Below are 26,861 nucleotides of genomic sequence, written 5' to 3'. Positions count from 1 at the left end.
ACGTGTCATCAGATTCCCAGAGCACTCTGCCTGAAGAGAAGTGAATCAGCCTAGATGTGTTCTTGGGGAACTAGTTTGGACATCAATGCTCCAAGACATGGTGGAACCTTGGGTGGGGAGAGGCAATAACTTAATCAGAAACTTTGTACGTGGCCTAGTAAAACAGAAATACAGAGTCCACATCTCTCAACATCTCACTCCTTCAAATACTTTTTGCCACCATTCCAAGTAGTCTATGTTTAAAATACATTTAAAAATAGAATACGTATCATATATTATCCTGAAAATTAAAATAATACGTAGGCAAAGTTCTTGGTGCAGTATTAGCAATTCTTGATATCATTATTATTATTTATTGTAACTATAGTTAACTATGTATTAGCTGCATAGTGATCATTTTGGGTGAGATTAATAATTTGACTGAAAACCACCTCAGGCTCTTCTTTATTCAGGTCTATCCTTCATTCCAGCACAATAACCACGGGGATTTTTAAAAAAGCTAACATCCAAGTTAGCCTTAATATTTTACATCTTATATTACATTTCACCCCAATGTACCCGCTTAAGGTCTATTTTTTAAAAGGCCATGACAACGACAGTCTCTTGTTTGTTAGAGGGAGAAGTTCTGACATGGCTTATTCATATATCCATTCTCACCTGAGAAGATAGTTTTCCCACAGTCTGGTTATATAACAGTAAATATTTTATTAACTGTAGCTATATAGAACCCATAATGGTGAATTACAACCCTTGTTATTTTTTTCAAAACTGGTGTTTCAAGAGATGATTATACTATCACACACACAAAAATGACCTGCAATGTTCAAGAGTGAGCCATTGAACAGCAACAGAGAGGAGTTACACAGAAAAATAAACAAGCAAACAAATAAGCAAATAAACAAATACTACATTATAGTTTCTTCAGGAGCATATTTAAAAATCAAAGTGACCATGGAGTTGTTGAAATGAGCAGATGCTTGCACAATAAAATTCATCACAGTGAGTGCGGGTAGATTTATTTGGGAGTTAACCAAGCCACTAAGAAACAGGATGCAAAAGGATTCACACTGTGTTGATATGGCTTATCTATACAGGCAAAAGCCTCATTTGGTTGTAAAGCTCCTGTGGACTGTCCACAATGGACTTTCCAATGTTGTTTATGGATGTCAGCTAAGATCTATCTATTCCAATATCCCTCGTGAGATGACAGGGTAGGTCTGATTTAGATCCTTGCCAAGGGGGACAATCTCAGGTCTCATGAATCAAGATATGTACCCAGGGTTGTCAGAAGCAAAGGGGCCAGAGGAAAAGTTCCAAGAGATGTTCAGGGAAGGAAATAAAAATTGTCTGAGCCAGAAAGGTAAGAATGATCCTGGTCTCTTTTTCTTCCTTTGCCCCAGCAATGATTAATTTCACACATTATCTTGAGTATTTTCCTTGGAAACTACTAATTCATTCACTTTCCTTATTTTCATTGTCACAATGTAGTTCAGCCAATATTTCCTCTCACCTGCCTTTCATCAGTTTTCCAGTTGGACCCTTTGCTACTATTTCTAAGTATGGAAATGGTCAGGTTAATTTTTTTTTTTGCTTAATTTTCCTATTTCCCAGCACTTTTGGAATAAAGTTCAAACTACTTAACATGACATTAAATGCCTAATTCAAGTGATCATCCTATCCCTGGAACACTCTTGAAATTATACTCCTTTTATATTTCAAGAGTGTACTTTATTCACTTGCTTTTTGGCCTTCACAATTCTGGCTTTCTACTTGATACATGACTGCTTATCTCATTCGTACCATCATTTTACCAGTATAACTTATTCTTGCAAGACCTTCAAGATGACACTTCCTCCAGGAAGGAACATCGTAAAATTAATAAAACTGCATTTTAACTATGTGCTCATTCATTCTCCCCCTAGTTTATAAGATCTATAAAAATGCAAAAACTGGCCGGGTGCAGTGGCTCACACCTGTAATCAAAAAATTAGCTGGGTGTGGTGGCGTGCGCCTGTGGTCCCAGCTACTCAGGAGGCTGAGGCAAGAGGATGGCATGAACCCAGGAGGCAGAGCTTGCAGTGAGCCGAGATCATGCCACTGCACTCCAGCCTGGGCAACAGAGTGAGACTCTGTCTCAAAAAAAAGCATAAACTATGCCTTATTCATGTGCATATTTTCAAGATATTAATTGGCATATTACAGGTGTTCAATCAATCAACCAAGTTATTGAATTAAGGATTTCATTCTAAAAAAATAGAAATATTAGTGGGAAGTAACCTAACTTATATCATGAAGTATAAACTAAATACACACTGATAATAAACCATGAGTGAATAGAAAGAAAATTACAAATGATACAATAGAATTATAGAACTTAAGCCTATCCAACTAATAGTTTCAGTAATTTATTGCCAAGAAGATTCTGGACATTTCAGGAAAGTTCTCTGTCTAGGTCCAATTCAGATTCTTCTTGCCTTGAGTTACTCTGATGTGCTGACCTGCTTCCATCCCACTTGCATCATTTTCCAATGTTCTATGGCGAATCCTCCCAAATCTCAACATTCTTGTAGCTAGCCCTTTCATAGTCTTTTATCACCCATTTATTATCAGCAATTGTTCTTTTCCTCTCAGCAGTTATCACACTCAGTAATTGTTTTAAACATTTGTTTACTTTTTTACTGTCTATTTTCCTCATGAAAGCAGCCACCTGCATGTCCTTAGTTCCCATTGTAGTGCCTGGCACAGACTAAGTGTTCAATAAATATTTTCTGAAGGAATAAATGAATTAGTTATTCCAGGGAAAAGTCAGACTCTGTTGCAACCTGCTTAAAGCTTACACTTAAAGAACAGAGTCTTCATAAACTATAGTTTTACAGTACTATATAATGTACATCTTTAAAATATAGGACATTTCCTTTCCTGAAAACACTGTGAAATGTTGGGCTGGGTACAGTGGCTCATGCCCGTAATCCCAGCACTTTGGGAGGCCAAGGTGGGTGGATCACTTGAGGTCAGGAGTTCGAGACCAGGCTGGCCAACATGGTGAAACCCCATCTCTACTAAAAGTACAAAAATTAGCTCGGTGTGGTGGCGTGTGCCCATAGTCCCAGCTACTTGGGAGGCTGAGGCAAGAAAATTGCTTAAACCTGGGAGGTGGAGGTTCCAGTGAGCCAAGATTGTACCACTGCACTCCAGCCTGGGTGGCAGAGTGAGACTCCATCTCAAAACAACAACAACAAAACAAAACACTGTGAAATGTCTATTGCAAATTTCTTATCTGGGAAAGGATTTTTTTTTTCTTTATGTATGTGGTGACAAGGATCTCAACACTATCACGCCAATAAACTTGTGCTATAGTGGGGGTGAGGGTGTGTTAGGGAAGGGTTCAGTCCCACTCTGACAGTTAATAAGTTGAGTCAAACAGAAGAAGGAGCCCCCGTTACAAGAGCTGGAAGTTTTATAATACTTCCTGTAATTTACTATAAAACCCTTCTGGTGGTGGCCACCTGTAGCATAACTTTTGTGGCCAATATTAGATGGCCGCTGGATTTACAAATTTGGCTGATCATCGGAATTACCCAGAGCAGAAGCAAAGGTATTGAACAATACAGATTCCTTAGCCAATCTCACACTTAAATTATCTCTTTTGTGAATTTTAGGATTCTGTAGAAGTAAAGCCTCTCAGGGAGTTATATTATAAGCCAGGTGAACAGAATGATGACACTATAATTACAGGGGGATTGCCAAGACGATTGGAAGGACTTCTGTTACGACGGTGCTAGGAAATGATCTGAAGAATCTTATTAAAATGTGGATTTTGATTCAGTGGGTCTGGGTGGGGCCTGAAATTCTGCTTTTCTGACAAGCACTCAGGTAATGTGAGCACTGCTGCTCTATGGGCCACAGTTTGAGCATCATCCAGGATCTTCAGAACAAAATAGTTTGGAAGATTGTGGGATACATAAGCAGTCTAGCACAGAGAAACACCTAGGTAAGTCCCACAATGTGTGTAGTACTCACCGAATATTATTACAATGTTTTATATTTTCAATTTTTCTGTTTCAGCCTAGAGATTGAGAGGTGGTTCAGAGAATGAAAATAATAATAGTTTTGAGAAATAAGGTTTTTCCTTGGCTACAAGGTTGGACTCTGACTATCAGAATTGGCATCACTGTGGAAATACAGAATATTGCTCCTGGAAGAAGTGGTAGAAGAGACAAGGAAATGCAGAATATTGGGTCCCATCCCTGACCCACTGGATGAAAATCTGCATTTCCTCAAGATCCCCAGGTGCTCATTAAATTTTGAAAAGCCCTGGACTACAGGTGGAGAAAGCTGCTGTCCTTAGTATTCGAAGTATAGCAGTTAGGGACCTTTCCCCACGTTCCTACCAATCTGGTAACACTAAAGTTCATCCCCACCTCCTTTCCCTTCAAATGCATTTCTACCATGAAAAGAGAAAAAAAAAAATATTGGTGGGGAGTGGGGGTGGGGTTATAATACTTTGTCATTGAATACTTATCACTGGAAAGAACAGCATCTAATGCTGTACCTGCTACATCAGATGCTGCTACTAAATGTTGGAGGAAAAATGTTGCCTAGTGTACAAAGAGATGCAGTCTGAATGACAGTAGCTACTTTTCTCATCATCTTTTATAATAGCTTTATCTGCAAAATGTAGACAATAATATGTGCCCTGCCTGCTTCAGACTGTTGCTTTCAGGGATCAAATGAGATAATGAATATGAAACTAGTTTGAAAAATGTATGTCTCTCTACAAATGTAAAGAATTGAGAGGAAGAATGATTTGATAGAAAGAATACAGACTTTGGAGTCAGAAAGCCCTGCTGTCCATAATTTACTTTTATATGGGTTTAAGTAAGTTCTTTAAACCCTCTACTTTCCGTCTGTAAAACATGAATAATCGAATGCCTACTCACCTACCATAAACGTTGATTTGCCTAAAGTGAAATAATCCATACGGAAGTGATTTATTAATGAAAAAGCATTATTCAAGTGTTTGTTGTTGTTATTAAGTTCCACAGAACACAATAAAGACTTAAATTACAATCATTTTGGTTAGATAGTAGAAAGAACTAACTTCAAGACTGGAAAGCACTCCGCTTGCTAATAAAACCAGAGTTTCTGGATAGTCCAAAACATTGGTTCTTAGAGTATAATTCCTAAACCAGCAGCATCTGCATCACCTAGAAACTTGTCAGAAATGCAAGTTATCAGACTCCACACCAGACCTACATGAATCAGAAACTCTAGGTGTGGGGCCCAAAAATGTAGCTTAACATGCCCTTCAGGTGATTCTGATGCAAAGTAAACTTACAGAACCCCTGCACTAGAGAAAACACTTCTTTTTGAGATAGTCAAGGTTGTATACTGTTTCTACCAAGCACAAATATAGGAGCATTTGAGATTCTTCCTGTGCAATAATAAGAAATCAACAGGAAATGTTTCAGTGACTGTGTGTGTGTGTGTGTGTTTATAAAAATATCTTGATATATATGCACTATCACATTTGTTTGGTTAGAATTTCTGTCACTTTAGATGAAGAGGTTTAGAAGTAACAACTGCACAGAAATTCCCACTTTGTCTTTTTCTATCTACATTCTAATGATGTTTGAGTCTAACATATCACTTAAAATGTGCACACATTTCTGAAATCCTCATCATTCTCTTGGCATATTCATTTGCAAGTCTCCCAGTACACTGAGGCTGCAATTCATTCTAATAAAAAAGAGGAACCTCAATAGGTAATTCAAATGGGGTCTTTCTGCCCATAAAAGACATGCCAATAAAATTACCCCATGTCACTTAAGAAACTTTGTGAGAAGCAAACTCCTTGGCAAAAAAAAAATACCTTGTCATTTCCTTTATGTGTCACCTGCCTTCGTTTCATTTCATGCATCAAGTCAGAAATTTTTCTCAAGTTGGTCAACTCAAAAGCCCATGAGGCTCTGTGAAGTCACAAGATTGCGGCTTTGTCTGCAGTTGACTGCAGTGTTAAAATCTGATGATGGGAAGAGAAAAAGAAAAAAAAAACTTCAATAATTCAGTTGGCAAATATCAATGCAAATCAGATCTAATTCTTTAAGGTATTCTAGTAACAAAAACTAAAATGTCACTCTTTGAATGACATCAGTCTTTTTTTCTTTAATTTTTTTGGCCTGATAGCCGAGTCTTTATGCTGTTTGGGCTGTGGAAGACAGATCCAGATCAGGGGATGAGAGACTTGAAAAGCAGATGGGAAAATAGTCACAGAAATTTAGTCTTCATAGAACAATCCAGGAGACATTTTATATTTTTCAAAACATAGGAAAATTGCTTCAAATTGCACCAAATTATATATTCAAGAATTTCACCTCGGAACAAAAGTCATTCTGATGATAACACATAGTATTGAGGACTTAGCTGCCCATTGCTTATGGTCATGTCTGTGATAATGGACACAGAAGTCGGCAGGGGGTGATTATTTGAGTAACTCTGGAATTTAGACAGGCTTACTTTTGGAGTCATCTAGGTGAAGATGGATGGATGGATTCCTGAAGAGACCAGAGATAAACATTTTCTATTTTCTCATAATTAGTTGTGGTAACTATGGCTGCTATATATATGACTTCTAAAAGCCCACCTACTTAATATAACTAAATAATCCCATTTATTTTAAAAAATAGTTACTACGTTGTATCCATCAGCTGTGGGCTATAATCAAATACCATAAACTGGGGGATTTAATTTGCAGGATGTATTTTCTCACAGTTCTGGAGGCTAGAAGTCCGTGATCGAGGTGCCAGCATGCTCAGGTTCCGATGAGGGCTCTTTCTGGCTTGTCGATGACCACCACTTTCCTAGATCCTCCCATGACTTCTGCGTGTGTGTGGAGACAGTGAGCAAACTCTCTGGTGTCCCCTCTTAAAAGAGCACTAGTCCCACCATAATAGCCTCAGCCTTGTGACCTCATTTTAACCTAATTATCACCCAAAAGCCTCATCTCCAAATACCATCACATTGGGCATCTGGGCTTCAACCTAGGAATTTTGGAGGGACACAATTCAGTACATAGCATATAATATCTGCTCACATGATGCTGATCATCAGGACTTCTGGCTCATCTGTCTTTCTTTGAGCTCTGGGGTCACAGATTTTTAATTGCCCTGTTATCATGTTTCTTTATGACTGCTATACCTTAGAGGTAAATCCTCTCTTAAACTCTGAATATGCAGCCATAACCAAAGGACCAACTGGAACCAGTACTGCCACCCTATTGCTAGCTCCTCACCCCAAAGTCTGAATGGCCTATCAGTAGAGCCAACCCTGGTTGTCTTCTCTATAATGCCAGAAAACTAGAAGGAGACCCAAAGAACACCCCCATTGGGTTATTCCTGTAACATACCAAGGCCAGCCTGAAAGGAAAATTTGTTTTACGCATGTGTGAGCAGCTATAACTTTCTACCATTGGCAGTTATGTTACTGATTGTTGCTAGAGGAGATAATTCCCCCAGGAACGATTAAGCACTCTAAGCTCTCCACAGCAGGCTGACTCAGCTGCTGCGTGTCAGAGTGGATCACGGGCTCTGCTGAGGCTAGTGTGTGATGTTGCTAAGCCTTTGAGAATGTATGTGAATCTTCACTCAGTTCTATTTCCTGTCAAAGGTGTGGTTCTGCCAAGGAAATGTCTGGCAGCAGGAGTAACCCATAATGTTATTCTATCATGCTGTGTAAGGGTGTGAGACTGGGGACTGGGATGGGATAAAGGGCTGCTACCATGGCCAGTCTGTAAGGACTGAATCTTGCTTCTGACCTGATCATAAATACAGTCCTCATATGGAGATAGGTGAAGAATTATTTCAATAGATCCAGAAAATTTATTATTGATCTCAGTTGCCTGAGGTGGTACCTTTCTGGGTTTGAAGAGATTCTCAATATCCATGGAAACACTAAGACAGGGAGTTAGCTCTCTTTCTTTAGGGCTTCTTTCTTATATAAGAGAATTCCATAAGATTTGGACAAACCGTAATGAATATTCAGATCTTTTCTCACCATAGTATCTATCACCACCATTACTACTATTGCTATTACTACCCACTGCTACTACTACTACTACTGCTACTATTACTACCATCACTAGAACAGTCACATTAGTTTCAACTACTGGTGTCAATTGGGGTCCCTACTTCATGTCAGTCTTGTCCCAGGTACTCTGCATTGACAATTTCTCACGTATGTAGGAGCTACTAGGAAGCCACCCATGTGTGATTCTATGAATTTTCAGAACCCAAGTCCAGAGCTCTACAGGCAATCAGCTATAAATCTTGAATTGGGTCCAGAGAGAATTGCCAAGGGGTATTCCTGGGTTTTATCAGAAGAGCAAAATCTACCAGATACCAGTAGGGATTCCATATTCATTTGTTTCCCTATTGACCTTTCATAAGAAATCAATCAAATGGGCAAGAAATAGTATAAAAATGGTATAAAAGTACATACATATATACATATATGTATATACATGCTTATGTATATATGTTTATATATGCATATACATGTATATATAGACATCAAACCAAATGTATATATATGTATATATATATATGCACCTACGTGTGTGTGTGTATATATATATATACACATATATATACACACACACATTTGGTTTCATGTATGTATGCATAATAGTGTATGTATGCATAATTGTGTATATATGTATATGTGTATATATGTATATGTGTATATATGTAAGTATACATATATACATTTGCTTAGATTATTTGTATGAACTTGATATTATTTTTATTACTAGTTTTAGTGAAAATTTGTTGCTTGTATCACTATAATGATGAATATTCAATTACAATGAAATACTCTTTAGCCTTGGCCTGAATTTTTACCCTCAAAGCACAGGGACCATGAGTTTTCATTCTGTTCCCGTACTAGAAAAGAAACCATTTGGGACCACACTGAATATTATATTGAAGCCCTGAACGTCAATTGGACTTTTAGATTTTTAGTAATAAATATTATAACACTTTATGATTTCTCAGTTTGCATCAGTAGGAAACTAAACTACAAAAATGTATCCCTGAGACATAGTTGCAGTCATTAATCACACAGTTTTTCTCAGTAATGTTTGCCAAACTATCTTGACATCTGCACCATCAACTAACTACGTCTGTGTATTAGTTTGCTAGGGCTGCCACAACAAATAATCACAAACGTGCATGGCTTAAAACAACAGAAAGGTGTTATCTCACTATTTTGGAGGCCAGAATTCCAAAATCAAGGTATTGGCAGGGCCACACTCCCTTTGAAGGATCTAGTGGGAAAACTTTCCTTACTTCTTCTAGCTTCTTGTAACTCCTGACTTTCCTTAGCATGTGGCAGCTTATTTCCAGTCTCTGCCTCTGTCTTCACATGGCCTTGTCTTCTGTGTTTTTGTATCTGTGTGTCTCAAATCTCCCTTCCCTTTCTCTTATTAACATCATTGGATTTAGGATTCAGCGTTAATCCAGGATGATCTCATCTTAAGATCCTTAAATTAATTACCTTTGCAAAAGCCCCTTTTCCAAATAAGGTCACATTCACTGGTACTGGGGGTAAGGACTTGTATATATCTTTTGGGGGACCACTATTCAACCTACTACAATCTGCTTTAAAGAATAAAAAGATTAGAGAATAATGAGATTTGAGTGGAACAAACCCAAATGACTTTTGAAAGGCAAAATGTGGGGAGCTCCAACTCTTGCAATATTGAAATCAAATGTAATTAGATCTTGCCTTTATTGTCAAATAATCTGAGAAGAGATTTTCTATACTACACAATTCTCTGAGTTTATCTATAAAGTCAAAGGTATTAGATAAACAGAGGAAATACGTAACGCAATGTAAAAGGATACAATTAGGAAGTAGGCTAACCTACATTTGAGCTTTAGATATGATTTGCAAACTGTGGGACCTCAGTAAAGTGACTTCCTTCAGTCATATAAGGATCTACAAAATGATGCTATCATAGAACTTTCTCATTACTGTTGCACACCGTAAAGAGATAATCTTCATGAAGTACCTTCCACGGTACCTGCCCTGCTAAGCTCTTGATAAAGGTAGTGGCTATATTGTTCCTCCATTAAAATTTCTGAAGTAAAATATTAAAAAAATACTATCACAGTTAACAATAACATGTTTGCATCTTTCCTTCACCCTAGCACTTTAGTTATAGCACTTCTTCTTAACCAGTCTTGAAATGATGGATTTTGTTCCTTCAAACATTGCTCATAATAGATGTGTCAGGTATCCTATTTAAACCCTAATGGTTGTGCAAATATCAGGGCTTATGAAAACCCAAATATGAGATAAAAGAGAAACATTTAACATAATTCAGAGGCAAGCAGCCAAAGTAAGCTGAGGGCAAAAGGTTAGCAGAGAGGACATTTGTCTACAGCTGAGAAACAGAAGCCCATTTTGGTTCCATTTGCATGTACTTTCTTCCTGTCTGGACATTTTGTCCACACAGCTGTAACCTCCACTACCCCTTGGCTAGTATCTCTCTCATAACCTTAATCATGACTTCCCCTTATTCTCTGAGTGCACTGGGATTTTTTTTTCCAAGGGATGCTTTCCTGCTCCTCCAGCAATGTACAGAGGGATGTAGGGGTATGTGGTGCAGCTGGGAAGACAACCAAAACTGCGCATTCAAAAGGCCTGTCAGATGGCATCCAAAGCTTCTTTCAGCCTGGCTTTCTGCCTTTGCATTTCTCCTTCCTAATATCCCCGTGTGTTCTCCAGTGTCTGGCACCAAGAAAATATTCTTCATCTTTTTTTTTCCTTTTATGCTCTAACTTCAAGTTCTTCTCATCTTTAAATGCAAGCTCTAGGAAACAGAAGACTAAGCAACTGCCCTCTCTAGGGCATAAGTGTTAGTAAGCCACACACAGTGGAGTGGGCAATTGCCAGGGGAGCCTGTCTCCTGCTGGTTTGGACCAGGGCAAGGTGAGAATCTGACAAATATTAGCAGAGCTTCTGTGTGAGCTTGATTCCCATGACCTTATGGAATTCTATAATTTTGATTTCAGGATCACTCTAACTCATCATCTATAGAAAGATGATATTGTTTCAAAAGTTAAAGTCAAAGAGAAAAGAAAGAAAAGGATAACATTGTGATGAAAAGTTCGTTAAGAGGAGGGTGATAGACAGAATAATGACCCCCCAAAGATGTCTATATTTGAACCTCTGAAACCTGTGAATATGCTACCTTACATGGCAAAAGGGACTTTGCAGATGTAATTAAGTTAAAATCTAAAGATGAACAAATTAGTTTAGATTATTTGGATAGGCCCAATGTAATCACAAAGATCTTTATCAGAGAGAAGCAGGAAGGTCAGAGTGCCAAGGGAATGTGAAGATGGAAGTGAGGGTTGTAGTTAGAGAGAGAGACTTGAAGATACTACACTGCTGGTGTGAAGATGGAGAAGGCGGCCACAGCCAAGGACTGCAGGCAGCTTCCAGAAACTGGAAAAGACAAGGAAACAGATTCTCCCCCTCAAACCACCAGAAGGAGCTCAGCTCTGCTGACATTTGGACTGTAGCCCAGTGAGACCCATTTTGGACTTCTCACCTCCAGGACTCTAAGATAATAAACTTATATTATTTTAAGCCACTGAGTTTGCATAGCAATAACAAACTAACACAAGCAGTTTCCCCTCAGAGTTCTTCATGGGCAGACACTCAGTTATGTAAAATTAGCTTGAGCTTTTCTGGAAGGAAATAAAAGATACGGAATATATGCCTGTACAGAATTCCTTTTTTTGGCATAATGGTGTATAATGGGGAATTGAAATGCTCTGATCAGTGATGTTAGCACATATTTTATTACTGGTGACTAATATTCAAAGAATTGTATTATGTTCAACTGTAATGCAAAAAATGACAAAGGAAGCTTTTCTGTTTTTTTCTTTTCCTTTTTTTCTTTTCTTTTTTTGTATGATCCACAAAGCACTTTAGGAACTTGCACTGCCTCGGGGTAATCATTGTGAACATCAATTATCATTGTACCATTGAAGCACAGAAGCACCCGCTAGTAATAATATTTCTAGGTGATGAGCACCAGATAAACCATCATTTACTATGATATAGTGCCTTGATTATGCCTGTTAAATTACAACTTTGGGAAAACTGCATAACTGTTTCAGAATTAAAATTTACTCATTTCAGGTATTTGCTTTGAAACACCATGACAACAGAAATAGAATGAGAGATAAAAGGAGGTCCCATGGTTACTCTTAAATGCAGCTCTTAGAATGCTGACATGAGAACTCCTCATCAGTGGTCTCTACTAGAAAAGGGGTTAGGTAAGCAGGTGTTTTGCTTTAGTCTCATTTGGTGAGCATGTGGGGTGTCCTCGACTTCAGGGTTATGAACCTGTCATACAGATACAACATTTTTATTGCCAACACCTGATAACATGTGTTACTTGAAGGAAGAGCCAATATCGTCTTTCCTCACTCCCCTTCTCCATGTGTTATAATTCATAGAACAGAACCAGGTCCACAACAAGTACTCAGTGAATGAATAAGCTAATGTTGAGTTCTTTAAATAGCAGTTGCTGACATTGGTGCAGCCCTCAGTGTACCAGGTGCTTTCCCACACATGGCTTTGGTTGATCACTCAAACACACAGTGAGGTGGCCATCCGCGTTTGAGGAGGTACAGCTGCTGATTCATGATGACTCATAGTCACATAGTCTGCCATGGAATTCTGGTTCCATCATCCCTATCTAGGGGTTCTGGGGAAATTTACTTAACCTTCTCAAGTCTCAGTTTTCTCATCTGCAAATATATATACATATATAGTTCTTGTATCGTCAGGTTGTTGTGATGATTAAGTGAGATGGTTTCCACAGTGGGCTCTAGCATAGAGCCTGGCACTTACAAAGGAGTGTATAAATCATAGATTTTTGCTATTCTCAGTTGGTGCAGGAAAACAAAGAGTAGAGGCATTAAGTGACTTACCCAAAGTCCCTAATACCAAGAGAGAAAATCTGGCTTGAATCTTCTCTTGATACTGGGTAATTATCTGAGTCCAGAAACCATTGTTTAATCTCTCTTTCTTCTTTGTTGTCTCTTCCCAGTGTGCACAGATACATGCACACACACAAACACACACACCACACATACCCCTGCATCACTGCCCAGTTTGAGTTGCTGGGGAGAATGACTGGGGAACGCCACATGTTCTTGTCAGGAACCTGCTAATGGCAGCTGACAGCTGTGCAGTGGCAGAAGCTGTGTGCTTGCAGGGGCCAGTCTCCAACTGAGAGGAGCAGTTTCACACCCAGTCCTAGGAAAGGCATTCAGCTTTTTCCTCCTTCCCATGAGAGCCCGAGGCAGCCTCCCTCCCCACCAACCACTGTGCTCATACAGCGATTAGTTTATCTGCCCTTCAGTAACCTGCTAATTCCAGGTAATGGAAAAAACCCTTCGCAGAAGTGGTTTACCAAACCACCTTCAGGATTCTAAGGAAACAGGGCTTCCTTCACATGTCCAAGGTTTAGAGATGGAGATGGGTACCTTTTCCCATGAATGGTAGCCTCAGGGATTTGAATCTTTTTGTTTTATTCCTCTTTCCCCTGAAGCTCATCCTTCAAACCAGGCTCTTTAATTTAGGACATGACGGGGTCCACATATTAGGATAAGCACAACATATTAGCTCTGCAGGAGCTGCCAGAAAGGACAGTAGCTATTTTGTGCTTTAGGTTTTGAGGAGAAGAGAATTTGACAAATGGCCCGTGTCCTTGGGGGATAACAAAGCAGCAAGTCTAGGGTAGCCAGAGAGGAGAATGATAAAGACAAGGGGAACACTGATATTCAGCTTTCCAAAATCTCTCTTCCCATGGAGGGAAAAGAAACATTGTTCAAGTTGCAAATCCTGCTGCTTGTGATTCGGAAGATTCCTGTCACTGAATATGCAGCTGAGCAGCCCTCTTTGCAAAGGCTGATCTCAAAGCCTCATCATCGTTGCCCACAAGCCAATCCTGGCATCGCTTTTCAAGGGATTTGTTTTGTATTTTCAGTATTAACACTCTGAGCTGGGAAAGGATGACAGCCCCATGAGCAGCAGCAACACAGCTTGGTAATTGGTTTTTAAATGCTTTTTGCTTTAAATTGATACCATGGGTCTTTCATTCTTCCTCCCTGGAGGAATTTCAATCTTTTATTTTTTGAAGGGTGACTTTTCCTCATCCTATGAGAATTGAGGGACAGACTTATAATTCCTGGCTCTCTTAAGTAAGGACCCTAAGAGGAGATAGATGTTATCCTACCAGGCAGGCTGTCGGAACACGGGCGGGAGATGGGAGAACTGGGTTCCAGTTCTGACTCTGCTCCTGATTGTCTGTGTGACCTTATATAGATCACTCTTCGTCTCAAAGCATCTATGTTTTTAATAAGTAAAACGAGAAACTTAGCTTAGACTTGTGTGTCTCAAACTTCACCTGCATATCAGTCACCTGGTGATCTTAGTAAAATGAGATTCGGATTCAGCATCTCTGGGTGGGGCCTGAGATGGTACATCTAAGCTTCCAGGTGATGACAGCACTTCTGGGTCAAGGACAATGCAAGGGTCAAGGATGTTGTTTTTCTGAGTGTGGTCTAGTGACCACTGAAAGTCCCATCAGGGCTTCTCCCATTACACTTTGTGAATTCAACATGTTCTCACTATCCTAGCTGCTAAACACCAGTTCAATCCCATCATCTCTCTGCTAGACTATTCAGCAATCCACCCACTGGTATACTTTCTTCTACTTTCCACACCCCCTATTCCCTACCCAGCCATGATAGAGCCTTTTTGAAAACATAAATCAGATCATATTTACCCCTTACCCCAGTTAAAACCCCCCAGTGACTTCCAGAATCTCTTGAAATGAAATCCAGGGATTATTATGGCCCTACATAATTTGGTCACTCTCTATCACCCCACCCTCCTATCTTTCTCCCCCTCTCACTGTGTCCTAGTTGAGTGGTTGTCAACTAGGGATGATTTTGCCTCCCAGGAGACGTGTGTCAATGGCTGGAGACATTTTTTGATTGTCACAGCCAGGAAGGTAAAACCAGCATCTAGTGGGTTGAGGCCAAGGATGCTGCTGAAATTACAATGCACAGAAAAGCCCCATATCACACACACGATATATAGAAGTATTATATAATATATAATATTTTTAATATTATATGTATAGCTATTATATGTATATATGTATTTTATATATTAGAATATATAATAATGTATATTGTATATTCTAATATATAAAATACATAATATATATTCTAATATATAAAATACATATATTAGTATATTTAAATGTATGCATGTATATATTTAAATATATGTGTGTGTATGTATGTGTGTGTATATATATATATATATATATATATATATATATATATATATCCCAAAATGTCAATAGTTTCCCTCTTGAGAAACCCCACCCTAGCTACACAGTCCTGCCTTGTATTCCCCAAGCTTACCAAGATCCTTCCAACCTCAGGGCCTTTGCACTTGCTGTATCTCCTATGCCTTCTGTACTGTACCTCCTGTGCCTCAACCCACTATATGTACACACACACATACACACACATTCTTTTCATCATTAAGGCCTCAGTTCAAACATGGCATCCTAAAGAAAGCTGTCTCTGATCACCTTAGCTCACACACACCCCTTATGCTACTCTTTTCCCATTGTGCTGTTTTATTTCCTTGTAGCACTGTCACTATTTGAAAGTTTATTATTTGTGAGATTTTTATCCATAGCCTCCCAGTAGAATGTAAGTCTCATAGTCCCACAATGGAATGTACATTGTCCATCTTATTCACCGCTTTACCCTCAGTGATACTACTACACTATAGAAGGGTGACCAGGGCATATTTACTGCTCACAGATATATGTTGAATTACTTAGCATATAAATGAACACAAAGTAAGTCTACTATATATTATTTAAATGTAGCATTCTTAGCCCCATTCCAGATGTATTGAAACACAATCTCAGGAATCTACATTTTAACAAGCATCCTTTGTGATTTCTGTACACACTGGCATGTAAGGTCCACAGGGCTCTATAACAACTAAGTAACTCTTATGGCTAACAGAGAGTGAGTCACATGGTCACTCTAGTCGGTACGTGGATCTTGCCAGCCAGTCAGCTTATCTTCTGTTCTCCTTGGAAAAGGCCAGCAATACTGTCTTTGGTTTTATCTCTGTGGGTGGGAGATTGGGACGACTCCCAGTTGGGAAGACAATTCTGGCCAGGATCCAATCCATCCTTACCCTGAGGTTGAATAGACCTGGTTTATTTTTCTTGATAACTTGAAGGGAGCCTGAGAGGAGGGGAGGAAATGACCTTTCCTGAGCAAATAGTAATAAATAAAGAAATGAATAAAGGATAAACAAAAACTACATGAATTTAACCTCAAATAATGAGATTTGTATGGACTTAGAAAAAAATTGTTGTTTTTTTTCCCCACATCCATACCAGTGTCTGTGAGATCATAGTCAACTAAAAATTGAGTCATTTCACACACAAAGCTAATGAGCCATGTATTTCCCATTTTGAATTTACATCATTTGTTTTTTTTAATTTAAGGGGAAAACTTTACATTTATCCCTGTTACATGTTAGCAGATTTGTTTTATTACTGAAGTCATAATACTGTAAAGCAATGATTTTGAAATTCTTGTTACAACAGACCAAGGATAACCCCAATTCCCTGTAGATCTCTCTTGAAATAAAAGATGGTGGGGGGATTATCTGCATATGTCAGCCCAGAAGTAGAACTCACTAACTGGATGCTATTCTACCATCCAACTATTCCTAACATGTAGTAAATGTTCAATGTGTAGTTATTATTATTACTGCTATTCTATGGTTTGGCTATTTTAATTGGTTATTCTTAGTAAATTTGATTATGATGTCCTTTTCTAAGTCCCTCAAATTGATATCAATCCTTTAATTAGCACACTTTAGGAAAAAATTTTAATCAGTTATGAATCAACTTTATTATAATCCAGTTCACATATTCCTTGTGGATTATAAAATAGGTTCTAAATTAAATATATTCTAAAGTATATATTTAAAATATATTCTAAGGTATTTCTTTAACCAGTTGTTGGGTAATCATAGTAAATTAATCTCAGGTATCCATTCAATCTAGAGTTCTGATTGTTAATATATTGTATCTCAAGCTAAGTTTTCTCTAATGTTTATTCACATGTCCCCATAGACTAATCACTTGTTATACTCAGGAAAATATTAATATATACAAGTTTCCTCACCAGCTCCAAATAAATGTCCATTAATTTTCCAAGAAAATTTGATCATGGGGATAAGTCATTGGGGATCAAATGTAACATGAGTTTTCTTAATTTAGTATTGAATGATACTTCTGTCCTATTACTAACATGTAAAGTCAATTGAACTAAAACATATATCTTCTCATTTTATTATTTTTCTCTCCACCTCCTTAAGTCTAGTGAAACATTGGTCATTGAATAGGTTATTGGGGGGAAAAAACCCTAAAACTGTCTTCTGAACATCCTCTGAAATGTATGCAGTTTTTTGATTCATTGACAACAAAAACATAAATTCAATCATTAGAAATTGGTATTAATCAGAGAAGGCACTAGTGGTCTGTGATATAGAATAATTATCATCATCATCATCAACAAATATTCCCTGAGTGGCTTCTATCAGTGTGCCATGCAGTATTCTAGATCCTGAACACTGTGGAAGAGGAAGGGCACTAAATTAAACAAGAGGAAAAAGCCCCCCTTGTCTGGGATCAGTACTGGCCTTCACTATGAACAGGCACTTTTAGGTGAAGATAACAAAGCTCTGGAAGGGGCAAGCCTATTGATCATGTGTATCCTTAATTACCTGGCTACTGACAGGAATAATGGTGACATTACACAGAAAGTGGATGGCCTCTGGGGCAGGACAGGCTTCTTTCCTTGTTTTGAAAAAGAATGTATGGAAACTTCCTTTGGTGAATACTATGTATGGAAAGTTGACAAGCTTAGATAGACCAGCAAGATTTAAAGATGGTTGGTACACAAGTACAGGAAAGCTTCTAGGAATGCTTTACACAAATCTTTATTTGTACTTTTCTCTGAAAATATGGGCATTGTGCGATGCCCAGCATCTACATTCTCACGTATACCTGTATCAGACTTGACACATCTCTTTCAGAAAAGGATGAGGAAAAAGCCATTCTGTGATAGGTTATCACCCCAGCATCTCCACATGCAAATGCCTGTTATCAACCAAATCTCTATCCATGTAGAATGAAAAGACAACTGCTAAACTTGACTATAGTTTCTTTTGAGTCCACAGATTAAAGCGAAAAGAAAAGTGAAGGCACCTGTGGCCAAATTTCATTTTTCATTCTAGTATAAAACAAAGCTCTCAAATTAAAAATTTGCTCTTAATGACTCTACATTAACATTGTTTCTTTTATCTATTGAAATCCCAAGACATTCCACTACCAGTATTTGGGGATCACTCACTCCATGCTGAAATGAGGCTACCTTTCAGCAGTTAAATGTGGCTAGCCTAGCGATTATTCAACAGCACACTATATCAGTTACAAAGACTAAGACACATTAAGAGAAACCAAGCTTCATGAAAGGATCACAAAGATCATGACTTTTTATAATTAAATAATTTTATAACTGATATGACCCACTTCTCAGGTTGCATTACCAAATGAAGTTGCATTTTTGAGAGTAGTAACTGTTTTTATTAAAATGACTAGAGCTCCCTTCATATCTATAGTGAGACTGACTATTCTTTTCTCCTCTTTAGAAGTCACTCCTCACAAATCCCCAGGTGGTAGACTCATAAAATTTCATCCTGGTTCCTCCCTCTTTCCCTGAAGCTGACTTTTTTATTTGGTTATTGTTTCCCAAATATGCCAACAATAAGAGCAGGAGAGTTGAAGAGCTGATGCCATACTGACATCCAGGAAGTCACTCTCTTCATTGCTGTTGTCAGTGCTGCAATGCCAGGTTGTCAGTGGTTATTTCCAAAGGCCAGATTCAAATCACAAAGGTAGAGAAAAAGCAAACAAACAAACACCAAAGTTTCTTTTTCCCAACTTCCACCATGTAAAAGCTCTAGAACTTGAACCACTAATTTTTAGTCTTCCAAACAAAGTTCAAACCTAGAAGACATCTCTGCATTTTTTCTAAGAGTGTACTGATGTGAGCCAACAGCACCATTCTCTACAGGTGTAAAGTGTTTGCTGAGATAAATCAACATTCTCATTTTGATTCATCCACTTGTCAGTAATAAAAAATTGCATACTAATAAGAAAGGAAAGGAATTGAAAATATAATGAGATGGGGAAAACTTGATCATTGTATATTTTATACAGATACCACATTTTTTACTTAAAAAAATTTTTTTTAAAAAGCCACTATTGCAGATGTCATAATTTTGAGGGCAAAAGGTTTAAAATATGTATGTTCAAGTCTATAATAATAAGCAAAGTCTGTTTCTTTATGAGCACAAGGAAAATATCACAAAAATAATCAAATTAACATAACATGTCATGACTTAGAAAACTGAGTAGACAAGTTATGAACAAATTTCAAAAGTGGAATAGATGAATTTAGTTTACATAATCATTAAATGTTAATAAGATTATCTGAACATACAAAATATAGTCAGAAATTTTGAGGAATTGATTCCTTTATGGAATACTAAATTCTTTCTCCTAGATGCACTAAAGAGAGGATGAATACGCCACCACAGGCAATACAGCAGTAGAAATGGAAATGCTAGATGAATTTTTTTCTAACACTTTAAAGACTGTTATGAGGATGTGTAGGATTTTACAGTGGCACTGAGCTCAGATTTCTGTTAACATATCCAAACTGCCACTAGAAAAACTTAGGGGGCTTCTTGTTTGCTTCTTTTTCCAAGCATTTATTTATCACCTTCTCCCAAAAATCTCTGTGCTTTATAAACATTTGACTTACAAATAATACTAACCATGTAGAGTATGTAGGAGAAATATAAATGTATTCCTAGCTTACAGAGTAAAAACTACTTAGGCATACATAGCTTTGAAGCCAGATGTCTATGCAATATCGAACTTCAGAAAGCTGAAAACAAATGCAGGAGAAATTGGCACCATCCATACATCCAGTATCAGCTAGGTAAAGAGAGAAAGAGAAGCAGAAAAGAGGGCTCTCCCAAGCCCTCAAGGTCCTGTGACTGAAGAGACAGCCAGCATCCAAGGGAGACCACTGTTACCCTGACAGCATTAATTAGAGCAGCAGATATATTAATGAGCAGTCATATCAATGCAACTTCTTAATTATCCATCTCTAGATGGTATTGTTGTCATAAATTTACTTTTTATTAAATATATTCTATTATTACCCTTTAGTCATCTTTATGAACTGTATCGACATTATCTGATAGTCTTCTACAATAGTAGAAAGACCATCAATACACAAAATAAATGCATTTTTGAAAAGCTTTTTATTTAAAAAGTTTGTGTAATGAATCTTACTTTTATGTTTATTTGCATCTTATGAGAAGATTTGACTCTGTGGTTTCAAATGACCAAATCTACTCAGTGGTATCATCTAATCTGTATGCTGGTTTAACCCCGATAATAGAAGAGGGAGGGTGTCTTTGATCGTCCTACTCACTTGTAGGAGCCCAAACATGTATCTTCAAAACTATAAAGAAGACCAGCAGCCACAGGAAAAAATAATTTAAAAATAAAGATTTTTTGACCTGGAGGAGGAGAGTAGCGAGATGGGAATCATCACTTGGACACCCTTACCCTCCTCTGGCCCTCATCAACTACTGCTGCCATTGCAAATGAGAGCTTACACTGCCATCTTGACTGGGTCCTCATCTGTATCACATAGGCTGATGCTGGTGTAAAGTTGGAGCTGGGGGCTGGGGACATCTCATCTGGCAATAACAATCCAAAGTATTATTACTCAGCTAAATACTTTATAACATATTTTATACAAAATGTATGTGCTGCACATTTTCTTCTCAAAGTATACTGGAGGCAAAGACAATAAATAACTTAGTTTCTACATCCATGCTGTCCACCCGCCCCCTTTCAAAACAAGACATTGGGATAATTGAGGGGGAAAAAATCTAGTAGCATGTGCAAGAGCAAACATGGGTGGGGAAAAGAAGGTAGTTCCAGATCATTTCCTTTCTCCTTTACCCTGGGGCATGGCATGGCCTTATTCCTGCCATTGGAGCTTGCAACAGTATTTATTGCTGGGCACAAATAACCTCAGCACATTTAGCAACCTGCAGTGCAGTCCGTGGCATTGCTTTCATAGTAACAGCCTGCCTGTCTTTAAACGGCAGTTTCCCTTTTTTTGGGGTTTCTACTGCTTTTACTTTACCTATAAAGAAGAATAGGTTAGACAGAGTGGCTACAAGCCGCATTTTCTTTTCCCAGATAGATACAATTTGGAGATGTTAACATTTGTTTCTAGCCCCTCGATTACTATGACTATGTAAGATTACTCTGATTTAATCATTCCACCTTGTGTTCATGAATTATCACTTTGTACCCCACAAATTTATACAATTATAAATTATCAATTTACAATAAAAATATTACTCTGGCTCAGGTATTTTGCTAAGCCATACATGTGTTTGTGCTGTGTGTGTCCACAGGCATGCACATGTATATGTATGTATAATATATAATTGTATTTAATTTTATTAAATACAAGTTGAGTTCTATATGACATGTATGACTATCCCTATTTTACAGATGAGGATACTGAAGATTAGGAAATTAAAGAAGTAAAATCTACATACTGTAGGTGATATTTCAGTTCACATCTCATGCTCAAACTGCTATACTGTGAGTTATAATCTTGGCAAAGCTTTCCAAAGTCTAATCCCTGTTTAGTTTTAAAATCATGCTATGCAGATGAAAAAGCTCTGTATTTTTTATCTTCTTTTTTTCCAAGGAAGTAAATGCACTCAAACATTCATTTACAAAATACTTTTTTAAAGTGATTATCTAGTTTAGAAGAAATGGAGGCATAGCCGGGGGTCGGGGGAAGGAAAACCATTTTATTAATGTTTTTAGATAAAATGCTGAGATGTCTTTATAGTAGCCAATCTACTAGTAATTGGCCTTGCACAATATTTCTCAAAATGTGATTCAGGGCTACTTATATCAAAATCACTGGGGTGCCTGTTAAATGGAGTTTCCTGGGGCCATCCAAGACAACAAATAAAAGCCTCTGAGGATAAGCCCTAGGAATCTACATTCAAATAAGCCTACTCTCCCTGTGATCTTAACATTCACTAAAGATTGAGAACAAATGTCCTAAGACCTCGTTTTGTTTCTCTTCATGTTAGTGTGACAGGTATTAGACAAGGCCGTTGATGATAGGAAAATGGTGAGTTTTAGGTAGATACAGTCCAAAAATATTTCGATATCATTCAATGACAGTAACAGAGCTAGTTTGGGAAGTTCAGGTGCATTTTCACCAGCCACTTAGAACCAAGCTACATTTGGAATTCCTGAGAAAACAGAAGCTGATTGGTGTGTTCAGACTGTTTTAATAGATGGCTAGAAAGAAAATAAGCATTTTGGAGGAAACTTCTCTTACACATGACCTTGTATGCAAGCTAAGATGCCTACTACTAGGTCACAGAATTTATTTAAAAGAAATGAGCATTTTACCAAAGATTTTGCAATGTGTGCTAATCAGAAGCTGCCTGTCAAGTTGAAGTAGCATCAAGAGGCTCAGAATAAGGGCTCTTGGGCGTTAAATGGTTCCTCCCAAATACCAAACCTATTATCATGATTGGCTGTTATAGCCCTCTAAACGGCAAAGTGATTAAATTGATCATTATGAAACCCTAAAGATGCGTAATTATGACAAATAAGACTCAAGTGCAGGGAGATTTCTATCTCACTGACTGGATTACATTTCAAGGAAGAATCAAAGAAGGAATGCTTTTAAAACCACAGTCAGCTGTGTGTGGAGGCTGGTTAAGAACTAGATTCTCCTGATCTTTACTCATATCTCTTTTGTATGTCATCTCAACACACTCAGTTCAGAAATCTCTGTAGCTCCTAACTCTGATTTTAAATTCCAATCCTATGCAACAATCTATCCACTTATATTATAACTCTGAATGTACACGGGTTGTTCTTTTCTGATCATTTGTTAAGTGTCAGGTGCCTCTAACATCATCTTGGGTTTATTCTGAGTTACTCTAACTCACTCTAAATCAAGTCCTCAGCCTGGATGTGCTCATTTAAGTCATTTATCATTAATAATAGCAATGGCTAAAAAAGAGGGCTAGGAAATAAGCTATTTCTACCCAGTCTAGTCTACATCTAAGAATTGAGGACAATAATTCCGGAGACTAAGTACATTACCAAAAAGACAATGGTTCCCTCCTGGAAATGCACCCACTAAAAACCCTTCTAAAACATGCCTGGATTAATGACAAAAAGATATACCAGACCAAGAAAGTCTAACACAGAGTCAAGCATTTTTTTCTTTAGCACTATAGAGGAGACAGATCATACAAATTCCATTTCCTGATAGAGTGCTTTTCAATTATTGACAGATGGGCAAAGAGAACATGGAAAGAGAAATAAAAAAAGAAGCCTTTATTGTACTTTTGGAAATGAGCAGCTAGATGTAATACTAATGTAGTGACCACTAACAAGCTTCATTGCAATATCAAGCTTTGTTATTAGTAAAAAATAAAGTACTATTTACGGAATACTAATATTTTTCTAATTACCAATATCTTCTTTTAAAAAGTCCCTTTTAAGAATGTGGTGTGAGGTACAATGCAAATTATAGTTGTGGTGGTTGATATTTCCTTGGAACAGAAAATCACCAGGAATGTGGTTAGCATTTATTTTCTCTGTTCATATGGTACACAGGACGTAAGCTATTCACTTTTCTATTTTTCCTTTTTTTCTTTTCTTCTCTTCTATGAATTGCTTTCACTTTCTTCAGTTCTATTTACCACATAACTTGAACTATACTCTCATCCTGTGAACGACTCATTTAGTGTGAAAATTGAATGCCCTTTAAGAAATGAATTGTCAGTGTTTGATATCACTATGCTCCTCTCATTTAGAAAAACGCTATGGTTTTATTGGTGAGAAGGGAATATAGCAAGAGAAAGGGAGTCAAAACATCCTCGAGAATGAAAGAGTTTTAATTGTTTTCAAGTATATGTTAAGACTGTCATAACAATATGGGAAAGAGAACAAAATAGATAATGTTGATGAAAATAAGCGATGACATCTGGACCACTTTTATTGTTATCTCAACTGAAAGAACAACGCTTAGAAAATACCAGCCACGTTGATAATTGAAAGTGTTGTTTTGCTATTAAAAATGAAGGAAATCAAAAAAGAATATAAAGAAGTAAATATGTGTTTAAATTTATAGTTCGCTAATTTTCAACATTAGTCCAGTCTAAAGAGTTCATGCTACATCCACCCACAATTATTATCAAGGCACTCTCTAAGTCGCAATGGTGTGTACCTGTAATCCCAGCTACTCAGGAGGCTGAGGCAGGAGGGTCACTTAAGCCCAGAATTTTGAGTCTAGCCTGGGCAACACAGTGAGACCTCATATTTCTCTTAAAACAAACAAACAGACAAACAAACAAAAAACACTTTATTCTACAGACATTCTATTCCCTACCCTGATATCCAACATTTAAATTTTGTTCCAGAAGCAAGCTTGAGAAACAGTGTTTCTTGTCTTGGCACTACTCTTTTAGGCATGCTTGCTTCTGTGTGCACATGAAATCAAATTAAACACTATGTAAAAAGAGTTAACTATGTGATTTTAAGTGAAATATAGTAGATCAAAATGGAAATACATCACTTATATAATGTTCTGAAGCATTGTAATGAAAATTTGCATGTGATTTTGTTATCTCAAACATTAAGAAATAAAGAAGTTACTCAATGGAGTAGTTTACCTTTGTCTGGTTTACTTGTAGTTAGAAAGCTTTTAGATGAGATGAGTCTTCTCATCTTTGCAGAGGAGATGGGATCATGAAGATATTAGCAGAATAAGAAGTCATCCAGTCAGAGAAAGATTAGAGAAACATTACATATTTAGCTTTATATAAATCACCTACATATAGTTTATAAAATTGTCCTTATGTACCTAAAACTTAGAAGGAAAGAAATCTGACCTGCTGGATGAATTTGAAGAGTTTGAAGAACTTTAGCTGTGAAATGATAGGAAGTCATTCCATGCAATTTTTAAATAGCAAATCTTATATTCAAGAATTTTCTCCTGACTGCAAAATATGCTTGCATTAAAGGTCCTATATCAGAGGTATAATTTGGATGTGTGGTCCAGAATTCAGTATATACAATAAGTCCTAATTCGTAATCATCTGGTAGCATATACATGAATTCACACATCATAAACCATTCTATACATGAAACCTTGTAAAACTACATTCTATCTGATAAATGTTTTCTAAACTTTGAAGATGTTGACCTAAACAGTGTTACTTATTTAGTAGACATTTTACTGTTCTTATATAATGTGGAGAAGTGAAGGGAAAGGGATCTAAATTAATTGGGATAATCCCAGCTGCCACTGTAGTTCCTGAAATCTCAATAACACAAGGTTAAACGAATATTGTTTAAAACAATAAAAGTGTATTCCTCCTTTACATTGCAGTCCTGTATGTATCATTCTTCTCTAACTTGCAGCTCTGCCATTGGAAAAACATGGCCTCCAAGGTCACTGTGAAGGGGGAAGAGGGAAAGAACAGGAAAGGCACTAGCTCATAACTTCCTCAACCAGAAGAAACATGTTTCACTTCCACTCACAATTCACTGGCTAGAACTCATTCTTATGGGAGAGACTAACCACAGGGGAGGCTTAGAAATGTGATCTTGTTTGTGATCAGGAAGAAGAAAATGAAATGAGGTATGGTAAATACAAAACATTTTTTTTCTGTCGCAGTCAGCGCTCTGACCTCCAGAGAGCCATATACTTCCTTTTTCACATAGCATACTGTCCCCTTCTCCCTAAGGGAGAAAACCCAGTAACTGCAGACACCTCCAGTTCCACAGTCTTACCAAAATACACAGCCTTGCTCATGAGGTTCAGATATTTTTCCTCTTAGTCCAGCAATTAAGGAAATAAAAGGATAAGCTATCTGTCTCCTCCCCTCTTCATCACATATATGCCTAATATAAAATGATAGAAGAGAAATGGAATGAGGCTCCCTGGGAAAAAGGTATAAATGGGAGAAACATTAGTCATTGGTCCAAAGCAATTCCAAAATTCCACTGGGTGTTATGAAAACTCCCTCCTCCCACCTAGTGGTGAGATATGATTGTTGCTGAGCTTCTGATTTTGTGTTCTTCCTCACTGCCCCCACCCCCCTCTTTTTTTTTCCAGTGGCTCCTGGATCTGCCATCTAGGGGTAGAGATGATCACTCACCTACTATTTCCTTAATCACATCTGAAGTGGGTATTTGGAAATATGCTTTCCTTAGGGGCTGCACAACTTTTTCAGTTCACATTCTTCTCGTGGTGGCCCAGGGTTTAAAAAGAAAGCAAATTCTTCAGCCAATTTCTCAATTAAATAAAAATTCAAAAAGCATATGTTTTTCCCAGAAATTCTGGCTTTCTTAGTCTGGGCTCATTATTTTTTTGGTGATATATGTATCCCTAAGATATACTGGTGAAATGTGTTTTAGTAGGCTTCTAATCTATTTGCTTCTAGTCAGCAACTCGTGCTAACTATGCTCAATGTTCTTTTGAACTCAGTTAACTCAAATAGCTCTC

The 26,861-nt window shown here is 37.5% G+C and overlaps 1 protein-coding gene and 2 long non-coding RNA genes across 8 annotated transcripts in view, besides 1 other annotated feature; 2 read left to right on the top strand and 1 right to left on the bottom strand.

Moving 5' to 3' along the window:
- The window catches only part of LOC124906269 (uncharacterized), a 277,601-nt gene that overhangs the window by 55,544 nt on the left and 195,196 nt on the right, over window positions 1–26,861 (bottom strand). Inside the window, exon 2 of the long non-coding RNA XR_007096010.1 lies at window positions 5,873–6,022. This is a non-coding gene — a long non-coding RNA (uncharacterized LOC124906269). The remainder of the gene's footprint in view (window positions 1–5,872; window positions 6,023–26,861) is intronic.
- The window catches only part of LSAMP (limbic system associated membrane protein), a 643,114-nt gene that overhangs the window by 432,330 nt on the left and 183,923 nt on the right, over window positions 1–26,861 (top strand). The window lies entirely within an intron of this gene.
- LOC124909414 (uncharacterized) lies at window positions 6,013–25,014 on the top strand. The gene is made up of 2 exons (XR_007096014.1): window positions 6,013–12,350; window positions 21,815–25,014. It is a non-coding gene; the product is annotated as an uncharacterized LOC124909414 (long non-coding RNA).
- Window positions 22,065–22,850: an enhancer, noted in NCBI's record as "NANOG hESC enhancer chr3:115709155-115709940 (GRCh37/hg19 assembly coordinates)". NCBI's record gives its function as "activates a minimal SCP1, AML or CMV promoter by ChIP-STARR-seq in naive and primed H9 embryonic stem cells {active_cell/tissue: H9 hESC(naive and primed)}" and the evidence as "EXISTENCE:reporter gene assay evidence [ECO:0000049][PMID:30033119]".

Source organism: Homo sapiens, chromosome 3 (genome assembly GCF_000001405.40).
Source record: "Homo sapiens chromosome 3, GRCh38.p14 Primary Assembly".
Lineage (NCBI taxonomy): Eukaryota > Metazoa > Chordata > Mammalia > Primates > Hominidae > Homo > Homo sapiens.
This window is presented reverse-complemented; position numbering and strand designations above follow the sequence as displayed.